The sequence below is a fragment of the Homo sapiens genome, chromosome 10, assembly GCF_000001405.40.
Source record: "Homo sapiens chromosome 10, GRCh38.p14 Primary Assembly".
NCBI lineage: Eukaryota > Metazoa > Chordata > Mammalia > Primates > Hominidae > Homo > Homo sapiens.
Window position 1 is genome coordinate 70,666,615 of NC_000010.11, and position 24,333 is coordinate 70,690,947.

At 54.7% G+C, this 24,333-nt stretch overlaps 1 protein-coding gene across 8 annotated transcripts in view, besides 4 other annotated features; it reads left to right on the forward strand.

The window, feature by feature from the left end:
• Window positions 493–1,148: a transcriptional cis regulatory region, noted in NCBI's record as "candidate enhancer chr10.2252 targeted for multiplex CRISPR interference". NCBI's record gives its function as "positively regulates ADAMTS14 gene expression in K562 cells {active_cell/tissue: K562}" and the evidence as "EXISTENCE:mutant phenotype evidence [ECO:0000015][PMID:30612741]".
• Window positions 4,479–4,773: a silencer, noted in NCBI's record as "tiled region #4371; HepG2 Repressive non-DNase unmatched - State 22:ReprW". NCBI's record gives its function as "represses a minimal TATA promoter and a strong SV40 promoter by Sharpr-MPRA in HepG2 cells {active_cell/tissue: HepG2}" and the evidence as "EXISTENCE:reporter gene assay evidence [ECO:0000049][PMID:27701403]".
• ADAMTS14 (ADAM metallopeptidase with thrombospondin type 1 motif 14) overlaps window positions 5,892–24,333 on the forward strand; it is an 89,936-nt gene continuing 71,494 nt past the window's right edge. For all 8 annotated transcript variants that reach the window (XR_001747025.2, NM_139155.3, XM_011539300.3 and 5 more), the window contains exons 1-2: window positions 5,892–6,270; window positions 7,942–8,381. Coding sequence is in view for 7 of the 8 variants with exons in the window: in NM_139155.3 (NP_631894.2) it covers window positions 6,189–6,270; window positions 7,942–8,381 (522 nt within the window). In the remaining variant the exon portion in view is untranslated. The remainder of the gene's footprint in view (window positions 6,271–7,941; window positions 8,382–24,333) is intronic.
• Window positions 15,995–16,840: an enhancer, noted in NCBI's record as "H3K4me1 hESC enhancer chr10:72442365-72443210 (GRCh37/hg19 assembly coordinates)". NCBI's record gives its function as "activates a minimal SCP1, AML or CMV promoter by ChIP-STARR-seq in naive H9 embryonic stem cells {active_cell/tissue: H9 hESC(naive)}" and the evidence as "EXISTENCE:reporter gene assay evidence [ECO:0000049][PMID:30033119]".
• Window positions 21,569–22,213: an enhancer, noted in NCBI's record as "H3K27ac hESC enhancer chr10:72447939-72448583 (GRCh37/hg19 assembly coordinates)". NCBI's record gives its function as "activates a minimal SCP1, AML or CMV promoter by ChIP-STARR-seq in naive H9 embryonic stem cells {active_cell/tissue: H9 hESC(naive)}" and the evidence as "EXISTENCE:reporter gene assay evidence [ECO:0000049][PMID:30033119]".

Here is a 24,333-nt window from a genome sequence, read left to right on the forward strand (position 1 = left end):
TCTGCAAGTGGGGATGAGGATGCTGACCTTACAAAGTTGTTGCAGGAGTGGAGGTAAATGTATAAAGGGGCTGGCCAACAAATATTAGCTATGATGATTATATTTGTTATTTTTAATATCTTTTCAAGGCTTGGCAACTCAGAAAGGCAACTCATCTCCTGCATCCGTGCCTGACTGTGGAGCCTGGTGATGTTTGTTGATGGCCACTCAGAATTTACACACATGTGTCTCACGTTTTCCCCTGGAATGATTATTCTGGGAAATGCTTGACTTGCCAAATTTTCCGTGAACTGTTCTTTCTCCAACTTCCGTTCATTTGATTACTAATTTAACTAATATTTATTAAGGGCCTCCCATGTGCCCAACACAGGGTAGCCACTGGGGATACAATGAGGAGAGAACCCCAAATGTGGTCCCTGTTCCCTGTGAAACTCAGTCTGGGGGAAGCAGGTGTTCATCTGTGAATCACAGAGAATCAGGAGAAACTCAACAGCAAAAACTGCTGTGCAGGGGCCCAGAGATGGTACAACAGCAGGTGGATTTGACCTGGTTGGGAGGCCAGGACAGGCTTGGGGAAGAGAGAACTAAAAGGATGATGTCTGAGGGTAGCAGGCATTGACTGGGAGAAGAGAGAGGGTTGGGCATTATGGGCAGAGAGAACAGCCTGTTGTGCAAAGGTGCCTGCAAGGAGCTAGGCTGGAGGGTTACCCAGTGTACGTGACCTCAGTGACTTTTCACCCCACCTTAACTCTGCTTATCTTTAGAAAACAGGACATCCGAGGTCAGAAGTTCCCCCTCGTGACTAAGCAGCTAAGACTGGTGGGATCCAAGATGACAGTTCCCTTGACCTCTGAAGAACCTCTAACTTCATTATAATCTAATTTCCAGGCTAAATGACACTCTTACCATCATGACCACAGTTGATAATCACCATGCCAATGGCTAGAACAAACCACGAAAGGACAAAAAGGAAGGTGGCAACTCTGGTTCCCAGAAGTTCTCCGCCCATTCCCAGAGAAGGCATGAATATTCCTCCCCTTGTTTTCAATGCTCAACATCTTTATTAAAGATGCCCTGTATCTGTGACTTCCCAGCACTCACAAGCTGAGCAGTGTTGTGGGAAGTCAGGAACCCGGAATGGAGGGACCGGCTGAAGCCATGGCAGAAGAACATGGATTGAGAAGATTTCATGGACATTTATTAGTTCCCGAAATTAATACTTTTATAATTTCTTACGCCTGTCTTTACTGCAACCTCTGAACATAAATTGTGAAGATTTCATCGACACTTATCACTTCCCTAATCAATACCCTTGTGATTTCCTATGCCTGTCTTTACTTTAATCTCTTAATCCCATCATCTTTGTAAACTGAGGAGGATGTATGTCGCCTCAGGACCCTGTGATGATTGCGTTAACTGCACGAATTGTTGGTAGAGCATGTGTGTTTAAACAATAGAAAATCTGGGCACCTTGAAAAAAGAACAGGATAGCAGCAATGTTCAGGGAACAAGAGAGATAACCTTAAACTCTGAGCACTGGTGAGCCAGATGGAACAGAGCCATATTTCTCTTCTTTCAAAAGCAAATGGGAGAAATATTGCTGAATTCTTTTTCTCAGCAAGGAACATCCCTGAGAAAGAGAATGCGTCCCTGGGGGTAGGCCTCTAACATGGCCGCTTCGGGGGGCAGCCGTCTTTTATGGTCGAAGCTGTAGGGATGAAATAAGCCTCAGTCTCCCGTAGCGCTCCCAGGCTTATTAGGAAGAGGAAATTCCCGCCTAATAAATTTTGGTCATACCAGTTGTCTGCTCTCAAAACCTGTCTCCTGATAAGATGTTATCAATGACAACATGTGCCCGAAACTTCATTAGCGATTTTAATTTTGCCCCGGTCCTGTGGTCCTGTGATCTTGCCCTGTCTCCATTTGCCTTGTGATATTCTATTACCTTGTGGAGCACGTGATCTCTGTGACTCACACCCTATTCATACACTCCCTCCCTTTTTGAAAATCACTAATAAAAACTTGCTGGTTTTGCGGCTTGTGGGGCATCATGGAACCTGCTGACAGTTGATTCGTGAGCCAAGCTCCCACTTCTCAATTCCATGGCCATTAAATAAAGCCTGCACTGCTTGATGCTCACTCTCAGTTTTGCGTACTGACTTTGTGACACCAAACGGAGAATAATACCTCATTTTTTTGAGAGGACCAGCTTTGTCCGTAACAGAGGCAGGAAGGTGGGCACAGGGAGTCTGATCTTTGTTCCAAGAGGAACAGAGCCTTTGGAGGTTTAATAGCAGAGAGGGCCATGTGATGTCTCAAACATCTCTGGGTGTAGTTGGAGGAGAGATTCCGGGGCCCGGAGAAGAGTGGGGTTATCTGTTAGGACAAACCTACAGCAGTGTCCACAGAGGGCTGCTGGTGGCCTGCTGGGAGATGGGGTTGCATTTGAAATGGAAAGAAGTTACTGTATTTGGAATATCCTTTGGAGTCAACTCCACAGGACTTGGAGGGGATTGATGTGGTGGGTGAGAGAGGTGACTAGGGTGGTCCAGCTGTCTGACTTCCTAACTGGCTATCCAGGGTGGATGGTGATGGCTTTCAGTGAGCTAGGGTGGAACTCCTCTTCTCCAGAGCATTTCAGAGCCCTACTGGTCACTTGTCACACCATGGGTTGGAAGACAAGGACCCTCTTCCTGTGTTTCAGAGTACTCATCTCCTCCAGGTGTGGATAAAACAGGTAAACACTTAGCACAGCAGCTGGTTCTCAACAAATGATAGCTGCCTGCTGGACCCCCTGCCTCTGGGTCACTCTCGTGGAGCTGTTGGCCTCTTGCTGCAGAGACCTATCACAAGCTGACACTCTTACTTCCTTGTGGGGGCATCTGGGACTCCTGCTGGGGTGGGGATATTTTGTCTCAACCTTGAACCTCCTCATCTTTATCTTGGAAGATGGAGCAAGAGGGGAAGAGAGCTGGCGCTCAGCAGAGGTTGTGCTTTTCTGAAGCCAGGGGAACTGGCCCTCCTCTAAACTAGCTGTGTGACCAGAGGCAAGTCTGCTTTCCTCTCCAGACCTCAGTTTACCTAACTATAAAATGGAGTGGGGCACAGGACTGGAGATTGCCTCTCAACCCCTCTATCTCCAAATCTCTGCATTTTTGTTTATGCTCAAAGGAACGTGGGTGGAGGCTGGGACCACCTTGCTCCTCAGGGTCAAATCCTGGGCCGTTGCCCAAGCCCCAGCCCACTCATTACATCTGTTTCAAACTCTTGCCACAGTCACCTTTTGGGGATAGACACCTCCACTTTGTCTTTCTGGCCTACCTGTCACAGGAGCCTTCCATGGGCTCTAGCTAGTCCAGCCTTTTCTCCTCCTGCCTGGGAGGCTCATGGCAGGCCGCCCCCTCCTGCCCATGCTCGTGCCATTCCCAACCAGGAACACTGCTTCCTCTCTGTCTCCCCTGTGGAAGCCTCAGCTTGGATCCACGGCAGTGAAATCTCCCTCTAAGCTTCTCCTTCCCAGAGTCCCCAGAGTCCCTGGGGTCCCCCCTGGCGACCTTGCATGTTCATTTAGAGCACATTTCTCTACCCTTTCCTTACCTGGTTTTCAGACTTTCTCTTGCCCATGTCAGGTTTCTCAATTGCTTGCTGGCTTCATGCAGCCAACACGGACTTTCTGCATCCCTCTCCCCCAGGGCCTTAGACTGAAACTGTTGTGTTGGGTGTTGGGAGAAACACCTAAGACATTCTCTCCTGCGCGAAGACTCAAGGAAGACACTGGGAAACCCAGACCTTGACTTCCTAGGAGGGTCCCCAGCTTACACCTGGGGATTTCTTCCTTTGGCCCCATTCACCTCCAAATCTGGGGCCACCTTGCCCTCTCCCCACCTTCTGGCCCAGACTCTGAGCTAGGCCCCCATGTCCCCTTTTCCTAACAAAGCCTTCCTCCATGGAAGAGAGCTTGGACACACAATACTTGCCGATAAAAGCAATCATTGTAGCCCCAGGGAAGGGGGCGGGGGTAAAGAAACGGGGAGAGGTTTTGCTCTCTGCTTGCCAAGGCTGGCTCCAGGGAAGGCCGCAGCCCACTCCAGCGAAGCAGGCTGCTGGGGCCCCAGCTGTGACCTGCTCCTCTTGACTTGCTTTCCTTGAGGCAGGAACAAGGGGGTGGAATGGAGCTGGGGCCCCTGAGTTTTCTAGGGGAGTCTTTCTGAGATGGCCCCACAGCAGAAAAGGGGCAATCCTTACGCCATGACTTTTTCCTTCTGTCCCGCAGGGTTCCCACTCTGCAGCTTGGAAAACTGAGACCCTGAGAAGGGAAGCCATTTTATCCAGAGATCATTTGGTGGGCTTGGGTTTGCAGAGGGCCAGAGCTGTGAAGCTCCAGCCTGGTCATCTCCCAGCCTTCTCTCTCTCTCTCTCTTTCTCTCTCTCTCTCTTTCTCTCTCTCTCTTTCCTATCTCTCTCTCTCTTTCCTCTCTCTCTCTCTCTCTCTCTCACACACACACACACACACACACACACACACACACACACCCTCTAACTTTCTTGCTCTGTCATCCCTCACACACAGAATCCTGTCTGGACCTTGACTTTGCACATCATTTTTTTTTTTTTTTGAGACAGGGTATTGCTCTGTCACCCAGGCTGGGTACAGTGGTGTGAGCTGAAGCTCAGCTCACTGCAGCTTCAGCCTCTCAGGCTAAAGCAACCCTTCCGCCTCAGCCTCCCAAAGTGTTGGGACTATAGGCGTGAGCCACTGCACGCAGCCAACACACATCTTAAAAGACCAGAAAGAGGAGAAAGAGGAACTCTATTCTTCCTGAATTTAATATAGATCAATTTGGTTGTGGCATTTCCAAATAACTGGATGCTCTGATGTAGCTTGGAATGCTTGGAATATAATATACTTTAGCTTTCTGAACCTGCTTCTTAAATGCACTGGTCCTCCAAAACCTTGGCATCATTTCCAAGATTCTTTATTCCATGGTTATTACAAAAAAATCTCCTTTCCACAACTCCCACCCCTGGATTGCTTGAAATATAGTTTATTTGCAAGTTATTAGTTACATATTTACAGAGTAAAGCAAGAGCATGGATCTTCTGTTGGGTTGTTTGTACTGACTCCTGACCTGGTCTCAACACCATTGCAAGACTAGCATCAAGTGCTCATCTCTCAGACTCTTGGTTCTTTCCACCTTGGGATGCCACAGTTGCTACTGGTGTCAGGGATGGAAGTGGAGGGCAGTTATCACTTATTGAGCATCTATTATGTGCTGTAGTTAACACCCATTTCACAGATAAGACAACTGAGGCTCAGAGCTAGGATTTCAATCAGGGCTGTCTGACTCTGAAGCCAGGGCTCTCTCCTCACCGGCTCAGCCCTGCTCTTGGCTAGGACACAGGTCAGTCGTGCACCCTGGGCTGGAGTCTGGAAAATGGGTAGATCCAAGGGGTCGATGGTTAGTGAGGGCATCAAGACCATAGTGAAAGAAAGAGGGAGTCTCCCTCTACCGGGAGGTTCACTGTCCACCACACTCCCAAATGCAGCCGGACACCCCTTGGGCTCCTGGCTCTGGAACAGAAACAGAGAGCAGGCCCTGCGGCCAAGAAAGGGGGCGGAGCAGCCATAGAAAGCGGCTTTGGGCCACCACTCCGGGGATCCCAGGCGTCTGAGGGGACAATCGGTCCGTGCGCCAGGAACCCCTGCTCTGTCTCCGCGTGGCACTTCCGATCCCCGGCCGCAGGCAGCTGCACTCCCCAGCCGCGCGCCCCGCCCCCGGGCGCCCGGCGCCCCAGCTCCGACCCGCGCCCGGCCCCGCCCCGCCCAGTGTGCCCACCCCCGGCCCGTCCCGCCGCCCCGTCGCCCGGCTCCCGCGGAGTCCCGGAGCGTCACTGCGCGGGCGGGCTGACCGACCAGCCGGCAGTTGGCACCGGGTGCGCTGGCGCGTCAGTGGCCCCGCTCTCCAGCCGGCAGCCTCGCGCGCCCGGAGCCAGCGGTCCAGGCGGCGGCGCCGCGCAGGGGACCCGGAGCAGGCGGGAGGGAAGCAGCTAGGCGGGGAGGCGGCTGAGGCGGCAGCGGCGGCAGCCAGCCGGTGCTCCGACAGCCCGGGGCGCACCCTAGCCTCGCCGCCCTCAGCCTGGGACTTGGGGATCGGGCGCTTGCCCAGCCCGCGTCCCAGCGCGGCCACATGGCTCCACTCCGCGCGCTGCTGTCCTACCTGCTGCCTTTGCACTGTGCGCTCTGCGCCGCCGCGGGCAGCCGGACCCCAGGTGCGTGCGGGTTGGGCGCGCGGGGGCCCGTGGGGTCCGGGGTGCACGCGGTCAGGGTGGCCCAAGGTTGCCCCAGCCACCCGGGCAGGGTTCCCGCGGGTGGGAGGCAGTATGCACACTCTGGGCTGATTTGCTGTCTTTTCTTCCACTGTGCCACGGCACTGTCCCGTGATTTCTCTCCCTTTCTGGTACTAGAAGTAGACAGAGACCCCAGGAGAGAATTTGGGAGCATCGAGTCTCTTCTCGGGAGCAGCGCATCTGTCTCTTTGTCTCTCTGTGTTTCTTCTTTCCCCTCTTCCCCAATCTGTTTCTCTGTCCTGTGTGTCTTTCTCTTTCAATGTCTTTTCTGTCTCCAACTTGTGTGAGCATGGGTGCAAGGGGTGTGTGTGTGTGTGTGTCTGTGTGTGGCTGTTACATACCCAGCATAAGGCTAACAGGTGATTGCCTCCTACAGCAGAGCATGCGGGGCACTCACGCTCCTGCACAGAAACACACATCCTTCCACTGCCCCCAACGTAGCACTGTCAAACGCTGTGGACACAGGTCTCTTGCATACAGACCAGATACACTCCACTCCCGCCCTGCAGCATGGGGTACCCTCCTGGTGGCTCTGAACATGGGGAGGAGTCACCGGTCATTTCCAGGCAGGGTCCCTCCTTGTTTGTGAGCCTTGTTCATGTGCCAGAGTGGGTCCCCTCTTGCAGCAGTCTTAGGGGTCCTCTGCTATAATGGGGATGAAACTAGAGCTGTGGGCATGGGGGATTTTCAGGAAACACCACTTTCTATGTTTCATCAGTGACGTGAACTGGGGAGACGAGAGGTAGAGCTGTGTGGAAATGAAAATTCCTCCCAAACTCGCATTCATGAATCACCAGGCCTGGAAGCCAGGGAGCTGTCATTCCTGCCCAGCCTGGCTGGGCTCAAGGAGAGCTGCGTGAGGATGGGCCTGCTGGCATGTGGCCTGGAGCATGGGGCCATGACCTCACAGTTAATTCAGCCCAAGTGGGCAGGTCACCCCCTGTATATCCTTTTATTTTTGAAGATCTATATTTATCCAGCTTGGGGCTCGGCCATACAGAGATCTCAGCGGCCACTGTCCTCCTGTAAAAAGTTTTCTTTCTAACCTTGGAAAAATAGAGAACCGCTCCCCTCTGCAGCCCCACCTTCTCCTTGACACGTGCCCATGGTCCCCTGGGTTTCTAGGTGTGTTTGTTTTGCCAGCTGCGTTCTTGGAAGTTTGGGGAGGAGGGCACTACCCCAGCCTGGGCTGGTGACTTCAGCACACTGGGGAGTTTGGGCAGATCTGCCCTTCCCTTTATTTGCCCTGTTGGCTTTTGGGGAATTTTAGTCCTTTTCTGGGCAGAGCCCAAGGTCGGAAGTCTTGTTGCTAGTGACCGGGCTCTGTCTGGTATCATTTGCTTTCTTCTGCTAAGTTTAAAAAGGACCTGGGGGCTACAGGGAGTGCCACAAGGTACCCGAACACCCTTCATCCAAGTGTAGGAATCCTGGAGCTCAGGAAGCAATGGATGGAAAATGGGTGAACTCAGGCTAAGGGGCCCACCTAAGGGTGACACTGAGAGTTCCTATCCCTCCCTGCCCGCGTGGGATTTCTGACTTCCCCTTACCTCTGAACCGACTGCATTGAAGTGACTCTTTGTTTACCTCCAACAGAGCTGCACCTCTCTGGAAAGCTCAGTGACTATGGTGTGACAGTGCCCTGCAGCACAGACTTTCGGGGACGCTTCCTCTCCCACGTGGTGTCTGGCCCAGCAGCAGCCTCTGCAGGGAGCATGGTAGTGGACACGCCACCCACACTACCACGACACTCCAGTCACCTCCGGGTGGCTCGCAGCCCTCTGCACCCAGGAGGGACCCTGTGGCCTGGCAGGGTGGGGCGCCACTCCCTCTACTTCAATGTCACTGTTTTCGGGAAGGAACTGCACTTGCGCCTGCGGCCCAATCGGAGGTTGGTAGTGCCAGGATCCTCAGTGGAGTGGCAGGAGGATTTTCGGGAGCTGTTCCGGCAGCCCTTACGGCAGGAGTGTGTGTACACTGGAGGTGTCACTGGAATGCCTGGGGCAGCTGTTGCCATCAGCAACTGTGACGGATTGGTAAGGGATGAGACTTTCATTAAGCTGCATCCTCCCCCTCCCATGCCCTGCTCACATGGTTTTGAGATTGCTATGGGCATGTTTTGCAGTCTGGGCCAAGGCAGGGGTGGTGCTGCCTTCCAGAGGGAGTGCCGCCTGCCCCCGCGGGCCACTAGGTTCATGCGCTGCCAGGTGTGAAGTGGCCAAGTTGGGATGATGTTCACCCCTCGCCTTCCATGGACCCAGCTGGATCACAAGCTGTTTGGCTGGTGTTTCTGAGTGCAGAGAGACACTGGGGTTGGAAGTGTGGCTGAGCCACTGCCTAGCTGTGAGGATTTGGATGAGTTAACCTCTCTGTGGTTCTTTCCCTTATTTATTTTGCACATATTTACTGTTCTAGATGCTGGGGGTACAGTGGTGCCTGAGACAGACGTGGCTTCTGCTCTCCTGGAGCTGACCCGCGAGTGTTAATGATATGGCCTGCCTAACTGGGCAGTGCACTGGGGGCTGTCCCTGCCTGGCTCGTGGCGTGGGCACAGTTAGCGGCTGCTATTATGTCTTGTAACATTGCGACGTCGTGTCCTTCCTCTTCTCCTCCCTGTCTCTCCTCCCAGAGCCAGCCTGCTCTTTCCTGGCTGCTCTGTGTGTCCCTTTCCTAGGACCCCCACTGCTTCCGCAATGCTTCCCAGAGTCTGGGAGCGCCTCTGCTAGTTGGCTCCACATTGCAAACCAGAAAGCCATGGGGTGGGCTGTCTTTCTCGCCCCCACCTGGGGTTGGCTCTCATTCCCCTCGCTGCTCCTCCTCAGTGTGCAGGCCCTTGTGAGCTGGCACAGCAGCCTCAAGGTCCTGTTGGGCAGCTCTTCCCTGCCCCAGAGACATCAGATGTGAGCTGATGGGTCTCAAGAAGGGGCCCGCTTGCTCCTCTGCCCTTCAGCTTTGAGAGCGAGAAAATTTGAGATGGGGAGGGGTTGTGGGTTCCTTCCTCACTGGCAGGGTGGGGAGCATTTGTCACCATTGTCTCATGTGTAGGAGATGTCTTATCTGCTGATTTCGTGGCTGCCTCTGTCTAGGCCAGTGCTTTCCACCTTTTATCATGATGTACCCCTAAATGTTTTAGACATTTCCTCCCAATCATCAGTCTACCCCACGATGAGGTTTTTTTTTTTTTTTAGAGGTGGATTTTCACTATGTTGCCCAGGCTGGAGTGCAGTGGCTATTCACAGGCACAAACACAGGGCACTGCAGCCTCGAACTCCTGGCCTCCAGCCATCCTTCTGCCTCCGCATCCCAGGAGCTGGGGCTATAGGTGCTTGTCACTGTGCCTGGCTTTCCTCATGCAATTTTAATACCACAGATATACTGAATATCTGTTTATACACTGAATATCCATCTGTGTTTTATATATTCAAAGGTGTAATATTTTTGCCTTCCCCAGAATAAATTTTCATCCCATTGAAGGTGGTAGGGCCCTCATGGAGAGGGCTTATCTACATGGTAGTTGGTTCTCATAGTTGAGCATGCACTAGAATCACCTGAGCACCTTGTCAGGTGCGCAGAATCTGCCTCTCAGGGGAGGGACCAGGATCTGATCATTACCAAACTCTGCAGGTGAACTGATTCAAGAGTTCCTGAGAGCGGACTTCGAGAAAGCAGATTGTCAGGGCAGCTGGGGGAGCCTAAGGCCTTGTCAGGTGTCTGGGCTGAGCCTCTGCCGCCAGCCCACTCTGGCTCTGCGGCTCTGTGCCACAGGGGCCCTTGGTCACCCCGCTGGCTAGAGCTATGCCATGGCCACAAGTTTTGGTGGAAAATCCCAAGTGATGTTAGGAATCATCCAGGGATACAGTATCCATGCAGGTAGAGAGAAAGTGCTGGTGCAAGCCAGCAGCTGAACTGAATTAGATGGTGAATTCCTTCTAAAGTCATCACACAGGTAGGCTGTAAGCTCCTCAGTGACAGGGCTAGGGCTCCAGCTTCTCTGACTGCCCTCCTGGAGCGAGACACAGAGGAGATGCTCAATATATGGTGAGAACCTAAACTGAGGATGACCGTCGCTAATAATAAGTGACTCCCCACCCCCTTTGCATCCTGAAAACCTCCCTTGTCATTGAACCAGCTCAGCAGCCCATTGACAAGTAGTGACTGACCACTAGGTGCCACAGGGACCAGGGAGGGCCCTGAAGGACCCTGAGCTAGCACTCCTGAAGCACGATCACATGGCTACGTGGTGTAGCATATATGGTGACAAGTCTTCATGCTCTGGTTTTGGGGGCTGGCGGATGGTGGAGGTGGGGCTGTTCAGTGGGCCTGGGGCTGGGGATTCCTCAGAGGGTGTTGCTGATTTTTGGTGGCCTCTGAGTAAATGTTCTCATTAGCTGTGTGACCTTGGGCAAGTCACCCCCTCCCCATTTCTGAGCTTTACTCTTCTCATTTGTCCAAAGAGGGACTATACTTGATATTCCCTGGAAGATGGGAATCGATTCTGTGTGGCATTTGCTGAAGCCGGATCGGGTCTCAGAGGCTGTCCAGGTACAGGCTTCTGGAGGCTTGCTGGGTAGCTGGTATAGAACTGAGGCTCTAGGAAGTGACTTGCCTGGGTCCCCCTCCCCTTGGTGAGGGGCAGAAATGGACTTCACTGGGCTGAGCTTCAGGCTGGACCACAACATGTACCCTGGCTGTTTCCAGAGGCCAGTCCTGAAGTCCAGTATCTGGACGCCTCCCCTCCAGGCCCTGGGAGTGGTACTCCCTGACTGCCTTCCACTGGGGCCGCCGGCACAGAGGTCACCCCAGGCTGGGATTCCTTGACTTTCCGCCCACTCCAGGAAATGGCCCTGTGTCCCGTGACAGCAAGGGGCTGTGTCCCAGTGACCCAGCTGAGCTCACCTTTGGACTCAAAGGCCACGGTGTAGCATTTCTGATAAGATTGAACTCTGCATCTTTACATGGTCTCTGGATTTTAATCCCATATTCTCTAACATCTCAAATGCCAAAGTCATTCATTTCAAAAAATTTGTACTGAGTGCTGACCATGGACAAGGTCCACAGGAGATCATAAAGAAAATGAAAGTGACACAGATAATGACAGCAACAGTAACGGGTTCTTCCTGTGGCCCAGACACAGCATGCATATGTGTATGTGCTTTTATTAACTCCATCCATTTGCAGATGAGGAAACTGAGTCATAGGCGGAGATACGAAGATAATACAGATAGCTTCCATTAGTACAGGACTTTATAGTTTACAAAGCTCTTTTGCTTCCTTCAATCTTCTGAAGTGTGTATGCAGATATTGTTATTACTCCTGCTTTGCAGAGAGTCAGGTCCCTGTCCTCGAGGAACTTGGGTGCCATGCAGGGGGAAACCCACCAGTAGTTTCAGCATTCACTTGGTTTTCTAGAACACAGTGGGGATGGGTGCTCAGTAAATGGGAGTGATTGTTTTCTTTGATGTCAGAGAAGGTGACATTTGAACTGGGCCTTGAAGGATGAGTAGAAGTTTGCTGGGGTCAGGGGGTGGGGAGGGCCTTCTGGGCAGGGGGAAGAGCTTGAGCAGGCTAGTGATGGTTGGGCAGAGGAAGGAGCACCATGTCAGGTGGGGCTGGGGAGTGGACCCTAGAAGACACGCGGGGCAGGGGGGCTTGGTCTGACCTTGAAGGAAGGGCAGGATGGAAGAAGGGGTGTGGGGCAGGGATGGGGTAGGTTGCTCTCTTGAAGAGGCTGGGCTGGGAGTTGAGAGATAATGGCTGCGTGACTCTGAGCAAGCTGGCCCCTTCTCTGGGCCTCAGTTGCCTCCTGGGTGCATTAAGGAAGCTGGGATGTGTAAGCTCAGACCCCTTCCAGCTCTGGCATTGGTGCTTTGTGGCATGGGGCTGACCTTGTTGGAGTTTGGAGCCAGGCCCCTGTAAACCTGTAGTTGATGGCTCCCTCCTACATTGTGGTTAATTCATGCCTAACACTGGGGTATGGGATACTTTGTCTTACTTCCCACCCACTGTTATGGAGGGCCTTCTGGGTGTCCTAGCTGTGGGAGGGGAAAGAGAAAGATCCAGGAATGAAAAAGCAGGGCCCTTGCCCTGGAGGGGTTTGTAGGCTAGTGGGGACCCAGACATAAAAGCAAACTTGAGAATCTAGTGAGAGGCAGCAGGAGAAGGACCTGTTTAGTTTGGTTAGGGCATCTAGGAAGGTTCCCTGGAGGAGGTAGCAATTGCTCAAGACTGTTCAGACATTATAAACATGAAAGATAGTGCCAGGCCCCTGACCAGCAGAAAGAATGACTGACCCAGCCAGTCTTGAGGATGTCCAGGGGCAGGAAATAAGGGATGTGGGGGCGGGGCCTGGTCCTGCCTGCAAAGTGCTTCCTCTGGGGTTGTGGGCAGCTAGCCTGGGATGCTGTTAGACCTGAGAGTCCCAGACTGGGAATGTGTCCAGTGACCTGACGGGCCACTCTTCAGAGCCACTAACACTCTGCACCTGGGAGGAACATGGGGTGGGGATCAGTTCTTTGCGGATCCTGGAGAAGTTGTGGCGTGCAAGGTTGGGGTCGGCAGAGTGGGGTCCCTGCTTCTCAGTGGGGCTGCATGCTCACTGTGCCCATCTAGAATCCAGGCCACCAGCCTCCTGAAGGGTTGCTTCTCCTACGGCCATCTCTGCCTCCCCAGGCCCTGGGGCCTGATGCCCTGCGACGGGGTGACGGGAGCTTGGCTGCACCGTGTTTCCCCCTTTGCCTTCAGTGCCTCTGTGAGTCAGGGCCTGGCGCGGAAGCAGCCACACGTGTAAGATTTGTCACCATCTGGTTCTGTTTTCCACTCTCTGCAGATCTTGCATTTTTGATGGGTTATACTGAGTAGACCCTGGCAGACGGCTTTGGGAGGGGCAGGGGAGGCTGCATCCCAGCCCAGCTGCTCACCACTGAACAAGTCACAGAAGCTCCTTCGGCACCTCCCTGTTGTCTTTAAAATGGGACTACAGTGTGGGGTGGGGCGGGGGGAGTTGAGAACTTCAGGGTAAGGGCCTTCTTTATGGGAGGCTGAAAATATTTTAAAATTGTGGCAGTGGTTACACAATTCTGAGAATATACTAAAAACAATTACAATATGCACTTTAAGTGGGTGAATTATATGGTATGTTATATCTCAATAAACCTGTTACTGGCTGGGCGCGGTGGCTCATGCCTGTAATCCCAGCACTTTGGGAGGCTGAGGCAGGTGGATCACCTGAGGTGGGGAGTTTGAGACCAGCCTGGCCAACATGGAGAAACCCCGCCTCCACTAAAAATACAAAATTAGCCGGTCATGGTGGGGATGCCTGTAATCCCAGCTACTCAGGAGGTTGAGGCAGGAGAATCGCATCGCTTGAACCCGGGAGGTGGAGGTTGCAGTGAGCCAAGATTGCACCACTGCACTCCAGCCTAGGCAACAAGAGCGAAACTGTCTCAAAAAATAAATAAATAAAAAAAATAAAATAAACCTGTTACTAAAAGCACCTGGCCTATGGAAGGGCCCCACGAAAGGTGGTGTTCGTAATTCCAAGGAAATAGTCTAGTTTGGGGGAAAGAGCAGGATGTGCTCACTCCAGCACAGATCAGCTGTGGGACCTTGAGCGAGTGTCTTCATCTCCCTATGCTTAGATTCCTCATCTGTAGGAAGGGCAGAGGAACAGTTGTCTATGGGGTTGTTCAGAGGATTAAATGAGATAAGGCAAAGTGTAGGGCATGGTTTATGGCAGGGCCTTAAAAATGGATAAAAGTCTGCAACCTCCGCCTCCTGGGTTCAAGTGATTCTCCTGTCTCAGCCTCCTGAGCATCTGGGACTACAGGCGTGCACCACCATGCCCAGCTGATTTTTGTATTTTTAGTAGAGTCAGAGTTTCACCATGTTGGCCACACTGGTCTCAAAATCCTGACCTCAGCCTCAGCTGATCCACCTGCCTCTGCCTCCCAAAGTGCTGGGATTACAGGCACCGCACCCAGCCAATCGTGATTACTTTTTAACAGTGATTATTAATAATGATAAATATTACAAATATCATCAGAGTCCCTTTATTGCAATGATATATAGATCATTGGCATTATCTGACTGGCCCTTGGCCAAGTCCTGGGGATGCAGGGATGAAGCTCAGCCCTCTGCCCCTGTATTCCAGAAGCCCACGGTTTAAAGGGGAGGCTGAACTGCACAGTAGACAGTAAAAAGCAACACAGACCATACTAAGCTTCAGTGATTTGTGGGAATACAGGGAAGCATAATGCATGCCAGGGGTGGCTTGGAGGTGAGTACTGAGAAGGAGGGGTGCTCAGGGAAGGCTTCCAGGGTAGGGGACATTTGGGCTGGGTTTTAAAGGATCAGTAGGGGTTTTCAAAGCCACGGAGTGAGAATTGTAGTCATTCTGTAGGGAAGGAAATCCTGTGTCTCTGCAAGATTCAGGAAATGGCAGGTCATTTCAGCTCTCCGTGGGAGAGGGAGAATGGTGAAAATGTAATTGGAAAATGTCAACCTCACCATGGAGCTTGGCCTTACCCCTGGCATCATGGGGAGCCATGGAGGTTTGTAAACAGGAGTCACATTAGTGTTTGAGAAAGACACTCATCCTTCCAGCTCGATGCTGGTGCACAGCAGACTTGTCTGTGGCTTTTTGGTCTCCTGTGCCAAACACCTGTCCTTGCCCCGGGGGCTGCTCTTGACTGGCTGGATGAGTGAGTAGGCGTCCTGTGGGCGCCCTGGGAAGCTGCGGGTCGGCTCCACATTCCACCCTGCTTTGGAGGTGTGGAGTGTGGAGGCTTGGAGTCTCACTGTGACCTACCCCCTCCCAGACACCCAGCTGGCTTGTCCCCTTACATCTTGACCTGCAGGCCTCCTGCCCTCACACATGTGTGCCTAGAGACCCTGGGAGGGGCAGGGGGCACCAGAGCCCTGTGTGTGGCCCCACATTGGTGCAGACCTTGCTGCCTTGCTGACCTGCCTCTCTAGCCTTATGGGCTCCAGCTCACAGATGGCTGTCCCCGCCCCTGCCCTGTCCAGGCTGGCCTGCTCTCGCCTCACTTTTCAGCCCCTTCCCTTGGCTGTGCTGTTCACACCTTCCCTGTCCCCTCACTTGATGTATGTCCCATTTCAACTACCAGTTCCTAGAAATCAGAGACTGTCTTAAATGTGTGCATTTCCTGGAGCATTGAGCATAAGTCTGGGCCCCTGGGTTGGAGGGGCAGGAGGTGGAAATTTCAGATGCACCAGGAGTAAGCAGGTAACAGAAGAAAGAGAAGAGGACCGGGTAGTCATAGGGGGTGGGATTATGGCAAAAGGGAGAGGACTTGCCCACTCCAGTGTCACTCTGGTATTATAAGAGGTTTGAGTATTGTAGGAGAAATGGGAAATATGGATTTTTAGGTAATTCTTAAGCCATTGTATGAACCAAACCCAGCAAGGCTGTTAGCTGGAGGCCTTGGGTTGCTTGTGAGCTCAGCAGCATGTGCTGGGGGGTGAGTGTGACCCTGGAACCAGCCCGCCTGGGCTGAAATCCCAGCTCTGCCTGTTACATGCCATGACCCTGAGCAGTTAGCTCACCTCTGTGTGGTTCGGTTTTCTCATCTGGAAAGTGGGGATCATAATAGTAATCACTTCATACAGTTGTCATGTGTGTAAAGGGTTTAGTGCAGTCCCCAGTACACTCAGCTGTTGCTATTACATGGTGTGGATTACTGGTTGGTTGAGTCTACCAGGTCTGAGGGGATGGTGGCAGGAAAGAAGTCAAGAGCACCCCATTTTTCTGGCTGCCACTCCCAGAGGGGTCTCTGGGTTTTCAGTGGGGCACACAGAGCCCGTGTTGGCCTTGGACCCCCTCAGGCCCGTTAGTTTTCTCGGGGTGCACCTTGCTTCTCCTTCAGTTTGCTGCTGGCCCTGAACATTCCCACCTGTAGTTCCCAGAGGTGCAGGGCAGAGTGTGGTCACCTATGTGTCCTCATGACCCAGCACTGGGCCTGCCGGACAACCGTCTGGGTGAGGAGGCATAAACTCCTGTAGTTAGATGAGGGGACAGCATTTGTCGTCCTCTCCGTGGCTATCTGGCCATCTGCTCCTAGGCCAGAGGTGGTGACTGCTGAGGCACGCACACTGCCATTTGCCCTCCTGCGCCCTGGCAGGCCCTGCAGGCCCGCTGTGGCACGCTGTCCCTGGGCCTCAGACCCCCCTGCATGTGCTCACGTAGTCACTCTCCGTGGGCCGAGTGGGCGTGTAGGGGAAACCCGTTTACCTCCCCGCCCTCAGCACTCCCTTCGTGAGCAAGTTTCTGTCTTCAGGGTGCACACCCTCTCTGAGAGTGGGAGCTGGTTTCTCATGTTTGCCACTTAGATAACCCGGTTTCCTGGGAAATACTGGGTACCTCTCGGCAATCTGTGTTTGCAGCACACGAAACAAGAAAGGGAGTCTTTGGAAAGAAAGGGGGCTTCTCCTGACCCGCCTGCCAGGGTGACTGTGGGTCTTCAGTGTGGAAAGAGGAAGTCACTGCTTCGTGATTGGGGCAATGTGAGGGCCTGGAGGACACAGAGGGGCTGTGGTCTGCATGGGAGTGTCTTGATCCCAGCCAAATTCCAGGAGGTGGGCAGCACAGGCTCTCCTGGGGAAATAGGCAGGGTGGGAAACTGAGTGACTATCAGTTATCATTCTTGTGTAACAAATCAGTCTAAAACTTGGAACTGAAAACAACATTGTGTCCTTCCTCACAACTCTGTGGGTGGGCTGGCTGGTTCCTCCCCTGCCTGCTCCAGCCTGCTCACGTGGCTGTGCTCCGCTGAAGGGTGGGCTGGGCTGGAAGGCCCAAGCTGGCTTCTTTTACATGACCAGCATGGTGCTGGCTGTAGGCCGCGCGGCCTCAGTTCTCTCTGTGGCCAGTTATCCTCCAGTAGGCCGTCTCAGGGTAGCACTCCAACAGGGGGAAGGTGGAAGCTAGAATACCCCTTGAGGCCTAGCCTTGGGAGTTGCATGTATTAGTTCATTCTTGCACTGCTATAAAAAAATAACTGAGGCTGGGTAATTTAGAAAGAAAAAAGGTTTAATCAGCTCACAGTTCTGCAGGTTGTACAGGAAGCATAGCGGCTTCCACTACTGGGGAGGCCTGAGGAAACTTCCAATCATGGCAGAAGGCAAAGGGGAGTGAGGTATCTCGCATGGCGGGAGCAGGAGCAAGATAGAGAGCAGGGGAGGGGGGTGCTACACACTTTTAAACAACCAGATCTCATTCACTGTCACGGTAACAGTGCCAAGAAGATAGTGCTAAACCATTCATGGGAAACCGACTCTGTGATTCAATCACCTCCTAGCAGGCCCCACCTCTAACATTAGGGATTACAATTTGAAATGAGATTTGGTGGGGACACAGATCCAAACCATATCATGGCATAAGATCACTTCTGCACCTTCTGCTGGTCAACGCAGGCCATAAAGCTGGACAAAATTTTCCAAGAGTGGGGAAATGGACTCTTCCATTTGAGGGAAGGAGTGGTAAAGTCTCATTGTAAAGAGATGGTGCACAGAAACAAGAGGACAAGTTGCAGCCATCTTTGCAAATATTCTTCCACATTGCCCCTAGGCAAGTGATTTGACGTCTCTGAGCCTCAGTTTATGTATCTGTAAAGTGGGTGTCCCTACCTTGTAGTTTTGTGGGTTAGAAATTATGCACTTAAAGTGCTGCCACAGTGCCTGGAGAAATAAAAGTTAGCATTTCTTCTTCTTCCTGCTGATGTCTTAGAATAAATAAGGAAACTGAGGCAGGATCCACAGCAGGTTTGTCTCCAGCTCTCTGGGCGCCCATGCCAGGGCTCTTCCCCCTGCTTTCCAGAGGCCCCCTCCTGTCTGGGCCGCTGTCTGTCTGAGCAGAGGCCCCGGGCCTGGGTCCTGGGTCCTGGGTCCTGGGTCCTGGGTGGTTTTCCAGTCCTCCAGCCAGTCTGATCTTGCAGTTTTACCTCCCTTGTCTCCTCATGACCATGCTTCACTGTCTGCCCTGGATTAATAACTTATTTATGATATGGAATAAAAGCCAGACATCACCTCACTGCGGCTCCTCCGGAGCAGAGCCGGCCTCCCATTCCAGCAAGGGCTGGTTTTATTTTTCTTCCTCTGTGTCTTCAGGCACTGGCTGGAGGGAGGGCGGCCTGAGGGCTGCTTAGCAGGCTGGTGAGAGTGATGGGGGCTGTGCTTGTCTCTCCATGTGCCTTCCAGCCCCAGGGTGGTACAGGCCCAGGGTGGGCTCTCAGTGAGGGCCCAGGAGATTCCACATTCCCAGGCACTGCAGTGGAAAGTTCCCAAACCATCCACCAGGCCCAGCATTCCATTTTCAGCATGTGGGTCTTGCCCTGCTTTCAAAGCCCTAAAAACAACAACAGTGATAATATTTACATGCTGCTTCATCCTTAGCAGCACCAAGGAGCTCCCTGTCAACATAAGCTCAGGCACCTGCAGATACCCTTGTGTTATGAAAACCTGCATGGATCCCAGCTCAGCGTACTTTCCACCATTCGCCCTGACTTTGGCCTGAGTTGGAGACAGCTGTGGCTGGAAAAGGCTTTGGGGCCCTCTAGCTCCCTCTTCATTTTCCAGTAGAGGAAGCCGAGGCTCAAGTTGGGGAGGAGATCCAGGGTCATGGAATAGCAGGTGAGTGTCAGGTGTCAGGGCACGCAAGGACCAAGGTTCCTGACTCCCAGGCAATGTTCCTCTCGCAGTTCCAGGCAGCCTCTCCTGTCAGTGGAAAGGCCAAGCGTATGTGAACAGAAACTCAAGGTCGTAAACTGTGTGCTGTCCCGTGATATGGTAGCTGTGGCAACAGCTTCAGAATGATTAATGCTAAAAGTGATTGGTCTAATGGTGGTGGGAGGTGAAGGGGCCTGGGGGTACTGAGTAGAGGTGTTTATGAGGCTCCCACTATGAGGGGGAGGGCTGCTTAACTTCTGCGTGTCATTGTCTTCTCTGAAACTGGGAGGCCAACTAAGAAAAACAGATGTCAATGGCCCAGTTAGTGGGATTTGATGCTCAAACGGAACCTTCTGGTGTTTCTCAGACTCAAGTCACCAGTGCTGCTGTTTTATCCATTTTCAAAATATTGGAGAGGGAGAGGGCTGCTGTTATGTACACATTACTTGTCATGGAACATTGAAAAACCCTGCAGTCTAATTTTCTTCTGCTTTCAGTAGCATGGCTGATGGGGCAGTAGAACAGGCCCCTTTTTAGAGAAATGTCTGGAGGTGAGATCGTTTGTTAGGACCAAGTTGGTCTGAATGCAAACTCTGTTCCCAACGGGTGGCTGAAGGCCTTTGTCAGCCTTTGCTTTTTTTTTTTTTTTTTAATTTATTTTTTTATTGATAATTCTTGGGTGTTTCTCACAGAGGGGGATTTGGCAGGGTCATGGGACAATAGTGGAGGGAAGGTCAGCAGATAAACAAGTGAACAAAGGTCTCTGGTTTTCCTAGGCAGAGGACCCTGCGGCCTTCCGCAGTGTTTGTGTCCCTGATTACTTGAGATTAGGGATTGGTGATGACTCTTAACGAGCATGCTGCCTTCAAGCATCTGTTTAACAAAGCACATCTTGCACCGCCCTTAATCCATTTAACCCTGAGTGGACACAGCACATGTTTCAGAGAGCACAGGGTTGGGGGTAAGGTCACAGATCAACAGGATCCCAAGACAGAGGAATTTTTCTTAGTGCAGAACAAAATGAAAAGTCTCCCATGTCTACTTCTTTCTACACAGACACGGCAACCATCCGATTTCTCAATCTTTTCCCCGCCTTTCCCGCCTTTCTATTCCACAAAGCCGCCATTGTCATCCTGGCCCGTTCTCAATGAGCTGTTGGGCACACCTCCCAGACGGGGTGGTGGCTGGGCAGAGGCGCCCCTCACCTCCCGGACGGGGCGGCTGGCTGGGCGGGGGGGGCTGACCCCCCCCACCTCCCTCCCGGACGGGGCGGCTGGCCGGGCGGGGGGCTGACACCCCCACCTCCCTCCCGGACGGGGCGGCTGGCCGGGCAGAGGGGCTCCTCACTTCCCAGTAGGGGCGGCCGGGCAGAGGCGCCCCTCACCTCCCGGACGGGGCGGCTGGCCGGGCGGGGGGGCTGACCCCCCCCACCTCCCTCCCGGACGGGGCGGCTGGCCGGGCAGAGGGGCTCCTCACTTCCCAGTAGGGGCGGCCGGGCAGAGGCGCCCCTCACCTCCCGGACGGGGCCACTGGCCGGGCAGGGGGGCTGACCCCCCCCACCTCCCTCCCGGACGGGGCGGCTGGCTGGGCGGGGGGCTGACCCCCCCACCTCCCTCCCGGACGAGGCGGCTGGCCGGGCGTGGGGCTGACACCCCCACCTCCCTCCTGGACAGGGCGGCTGGCCGGGCGGGGGGCCGACCCCCCCACCTCCCTCCCGGACGGGGCGGCTGGCCGGGCAGAGGGGCTCCTCACTTCCCAGTAGGGGCGGCCGGGCAGAGGCGCCCCTCAACTCCCAGACGGGGCGGCTGGCCGGGCGGAGGGCTGACCCCCCCACCTCCCTCCCGGACAGGGCGGCTGGCCGGGCGGGGGGCTGACCCCCCCACCTCCCTCCCGGATGGGGCGGCTGGCCGGGCAGAGGGGCTCCTCACTTCCCAGTAGGGGCGGCCGGGCAGAGGCGCCCCTCACCTCCCAGACGGGGCGGCTGGCCGGGCGGGGCGCTGACCCCCCCACCTCCCTCCCGGACGGGGCGGCTGGCCAGGCGGGGGGCTGACCCCCCCACCTCCCTCCCAGACGGGGCGGCTGGCCGGGTGGGGGGGCTGACCCCCCCATCTCCCTCCCGGACGGGGTGGCTGGCCGGGCTGAGGGGCTCCTCACTTCCCAGTAGGGGCGGCCGGGCAGAGGCGCCCCTCACCTCCCGGACGGGGCGGCTGGCCGGGCGGGGGGCTGACCCCCCCACCTCCCTCCTGGACGGCACGGCTGTCCGGGCGGGGGGGCTGACCCCCCACCTCCCTCCCGGATGGGGCGGCTGGCCGGGCGGGGGGCTGACCCCCCCCCCGACCTCCCTCCCGGACGGGGTGGCTGCCGGGCGGAGACGCTCCTCACTTCCCAGATGGGGTGGCTGCCGGGCGGAGAGGCTCCTCACTTCTCAGACGGGGCAGCTGCCGGGCGGAGGGGCTCCTCACTTCTCAGACGGGGTGGTTGCCAGGCAGAGGGTCTCCTCACTTCTCAGATGGGGCGGCCGGGCAGAGACGCTCCTCACCTCCCAGACGGGGTCTCGGCCGGGCAGAGGCGCTCCTCACATCCCAGATGGGGCGGCGGGGCAGAGGCGCTCCCCACATCTCAGATGATGGGCGGCCGGGCAGAGAGGCTCCTCACTTCCTAGATGTGATGGCGGCTGGGAAGAGGCGCTCCTCACTTCCTAGATGGGATGGCCGCCGGGCAGAGACGCTCCTCACTTTCCAGACTGGGCAGCCAGGCAGAGGGGCTCCTCACATCCCAGACGATGGGCGGCCAGGCAGAGACACTCCTCACTTCCCAGACGGGGTGGCGGCCGGGCAGAGGCTGCAATCTCGGCACTTTGGGAGGCCAAGGCAGGCGGCTGGGAGGTGTAGGTTGTAGTGAGCCGAGATCACGCCACTGCACTCCAGCCTGGGCACCATTGAGCACTGAGTGAACGAGACTCCGTCTGCAATCCCGGCACCTCGGGAGGCCGAGGTTGGCGGATCACTCGCGGTTAGGGGCTGGAGACTGGCCCGGCCAACACAGCGAAACCCCGTCTCCACCAAAACCAGTCAGGCGTGGCGGCGCGTGCCTGCAATCGCAGGCATTCGGCAGACTGAGGCAGGAGAATCAGGCAGGGAGGTTGCAGTGAGCCGAGATGGCAGCAGTACAGTCCAGCTTCGGCTCCGCATGAGAGGGAGACCGGAGGGGGAGGGGGAGGGGGAGGGGGAGGGGGAGGGGGAGGGGGAGGGGGAGGGAGAGGGAGAGCCTTTGCTTTTAAGCCAGCCACATATTTACACCTTTGGTCTGTCCAGAAACAGCCTGCCACTTTCCCCTCCAAGCCACTCCCGTCCCCCAGGCAGAGGTTCACATCCACCCCTTGAGGCTGGCAGGGGCCCACACTCTATGAGTTAGCTCCTCCAGCCTGAAGAGGCCTGTGTTCCACAGCCTGGCCGACTGCTGGCCTGGGTGCATCGTGCCTTTGAGGCTTTGTCACTTCAAAATTCATAGTCCCCGCGTAGGGAGATGCTAGGTAAAATATGCCGTCCCCTAATCCACGGCCACAGTTTTGGGGAAGCGGATCTCTCACAAGGGTGGTATACCCAAGGGAGTTTGTTTTAAGGCCTGACCCGAAGGATGCTTGTTTAGCATGGTTTCATTCCAAAGTCAGTTGTGCAGCACCAACCAGTTCATCCCCCTGAAGCTCACGTCTAGAAGAAGGACAGAGATACCTGGACAGGGATAGAGCACCTGCCAAGAGCCACCACCACAGAGCACAAAGGAGGGAGCAGTGATGGGGTGGCCTTCGAGCTGGGTGAAAGGGGCATTCCTAGTGGGGTGCACAGCAGGGGCGAAGGCGCGGAGGCCCATGGGAACTGTGGCTCTGGTACAGAACGGGTCCTGTGTGGCTCCATTGTGGGGATTTTTGTTGCTGGTAATTCTAAAAGGGAAACCAACACAGCATAATAAGAATAACCAGCACTGGGGTGGTGTGAGCCACCTCCTGTCTCTCCCAGATGATGACATTCGCCTTCCTGCGCTCCCTTGCCCCTGCAGTGTATTCGCCAACAGCAGCCTGGGCAGTCCTGTTACAATCCGAGTCCTCCATGGTTCGCGGCATTCCTCCCAGAGAAGCCAGCCAGGCCCTGGGCCGCCATCGCTCCTCCTCACTGCCCTCCCTGAAGGGAACATTCCTCCCCAGGGACTGCCAGGGCCTGCCCCTCAGACCCCTCAGGCTTTCACTCAAATGTCACCTTCAGAGCGACGTCCTCCCTGGCAACCTTATTCACAATTTCCAGCTCCAGTCCTCTCTTCTCCATGGCTCCTTCCATTTGGTATGTCACATATTTCTAGTTATTTATCGCCTGTCACCACCCTGCTGTAGAATGTTAGCTCCGTGCAAAGAGTAATTTTTGGCTGTGTCTCCAGCACCTAGATCAGGGGCTTCTCAGTCATCATCTGATGAATGAATGAGTGAATATGTGCTATTGCAGGCAAGGGTTTAGGAGAAGCAAGTTACAGAGACATAGGTGAACATGTGAAGGGAGGGGGTCTGGAGAGGGGGTCTGGTGGCTGCAGTGTGGGCATTTGTGCTGCTAGTGCCTGGCAGGTGAACTGTAAGAGTGTGGCCAAATCTGGAACCTGTGCTAGTGGTGCTGGTCCCTGGGCAGGGTTAAGGACAGGACCATGCCACCTGTCTGGGGTCTTCTGGCCAATTGTGTTTCATCTGCTCCTTCCACCCTTTGCAGAGGAGACTGGCCAGTGATACCTGGAGGGTCATTGTGTCATCAGGAGCCACTTGTGGGGCTAGAGCTAGCCTGGCATTCTCCCATGCTTACCTGCATTCTGGAGGGAACTTGTCTCTTGGCCACTGCCAAGTCCCTCATCGGCAGCTCACTACAGACCTGGCTATGCATCAGATGCAGTGATAAACATTTATGTGCGTGATCTCACGTGGGAGGCATGGTTTAAAACTAGTCAGCGACCCACTGGGCCAGGCTGCTGTAGGGCTCATTCGGAGGGGAGGCCTGGCTGGGACAGTGACCTGTGGGGCCCTCTCTTGGGCCTGTTCTCCACTGCCAAGGGTGCAGCACCTTGCCCAGTGCTGCTCACTGTCAGCTGGTGTGCGTCTGAGTGGCAGCGTTCAAACTGCAGGGCCTCCACGCAGGGTGCCGCTCCTCCGCTCAGGGCCTGGCAGCCACACCGCCTGCTGGCACTTGAGGGCTGCTTCCTGTCTCTTCATCCTGGAGCCATGGCTGCTTCCAGGACTCAGGGCCAAGCAGGGGCCAGGCAGAGCTCCTTCGCCGA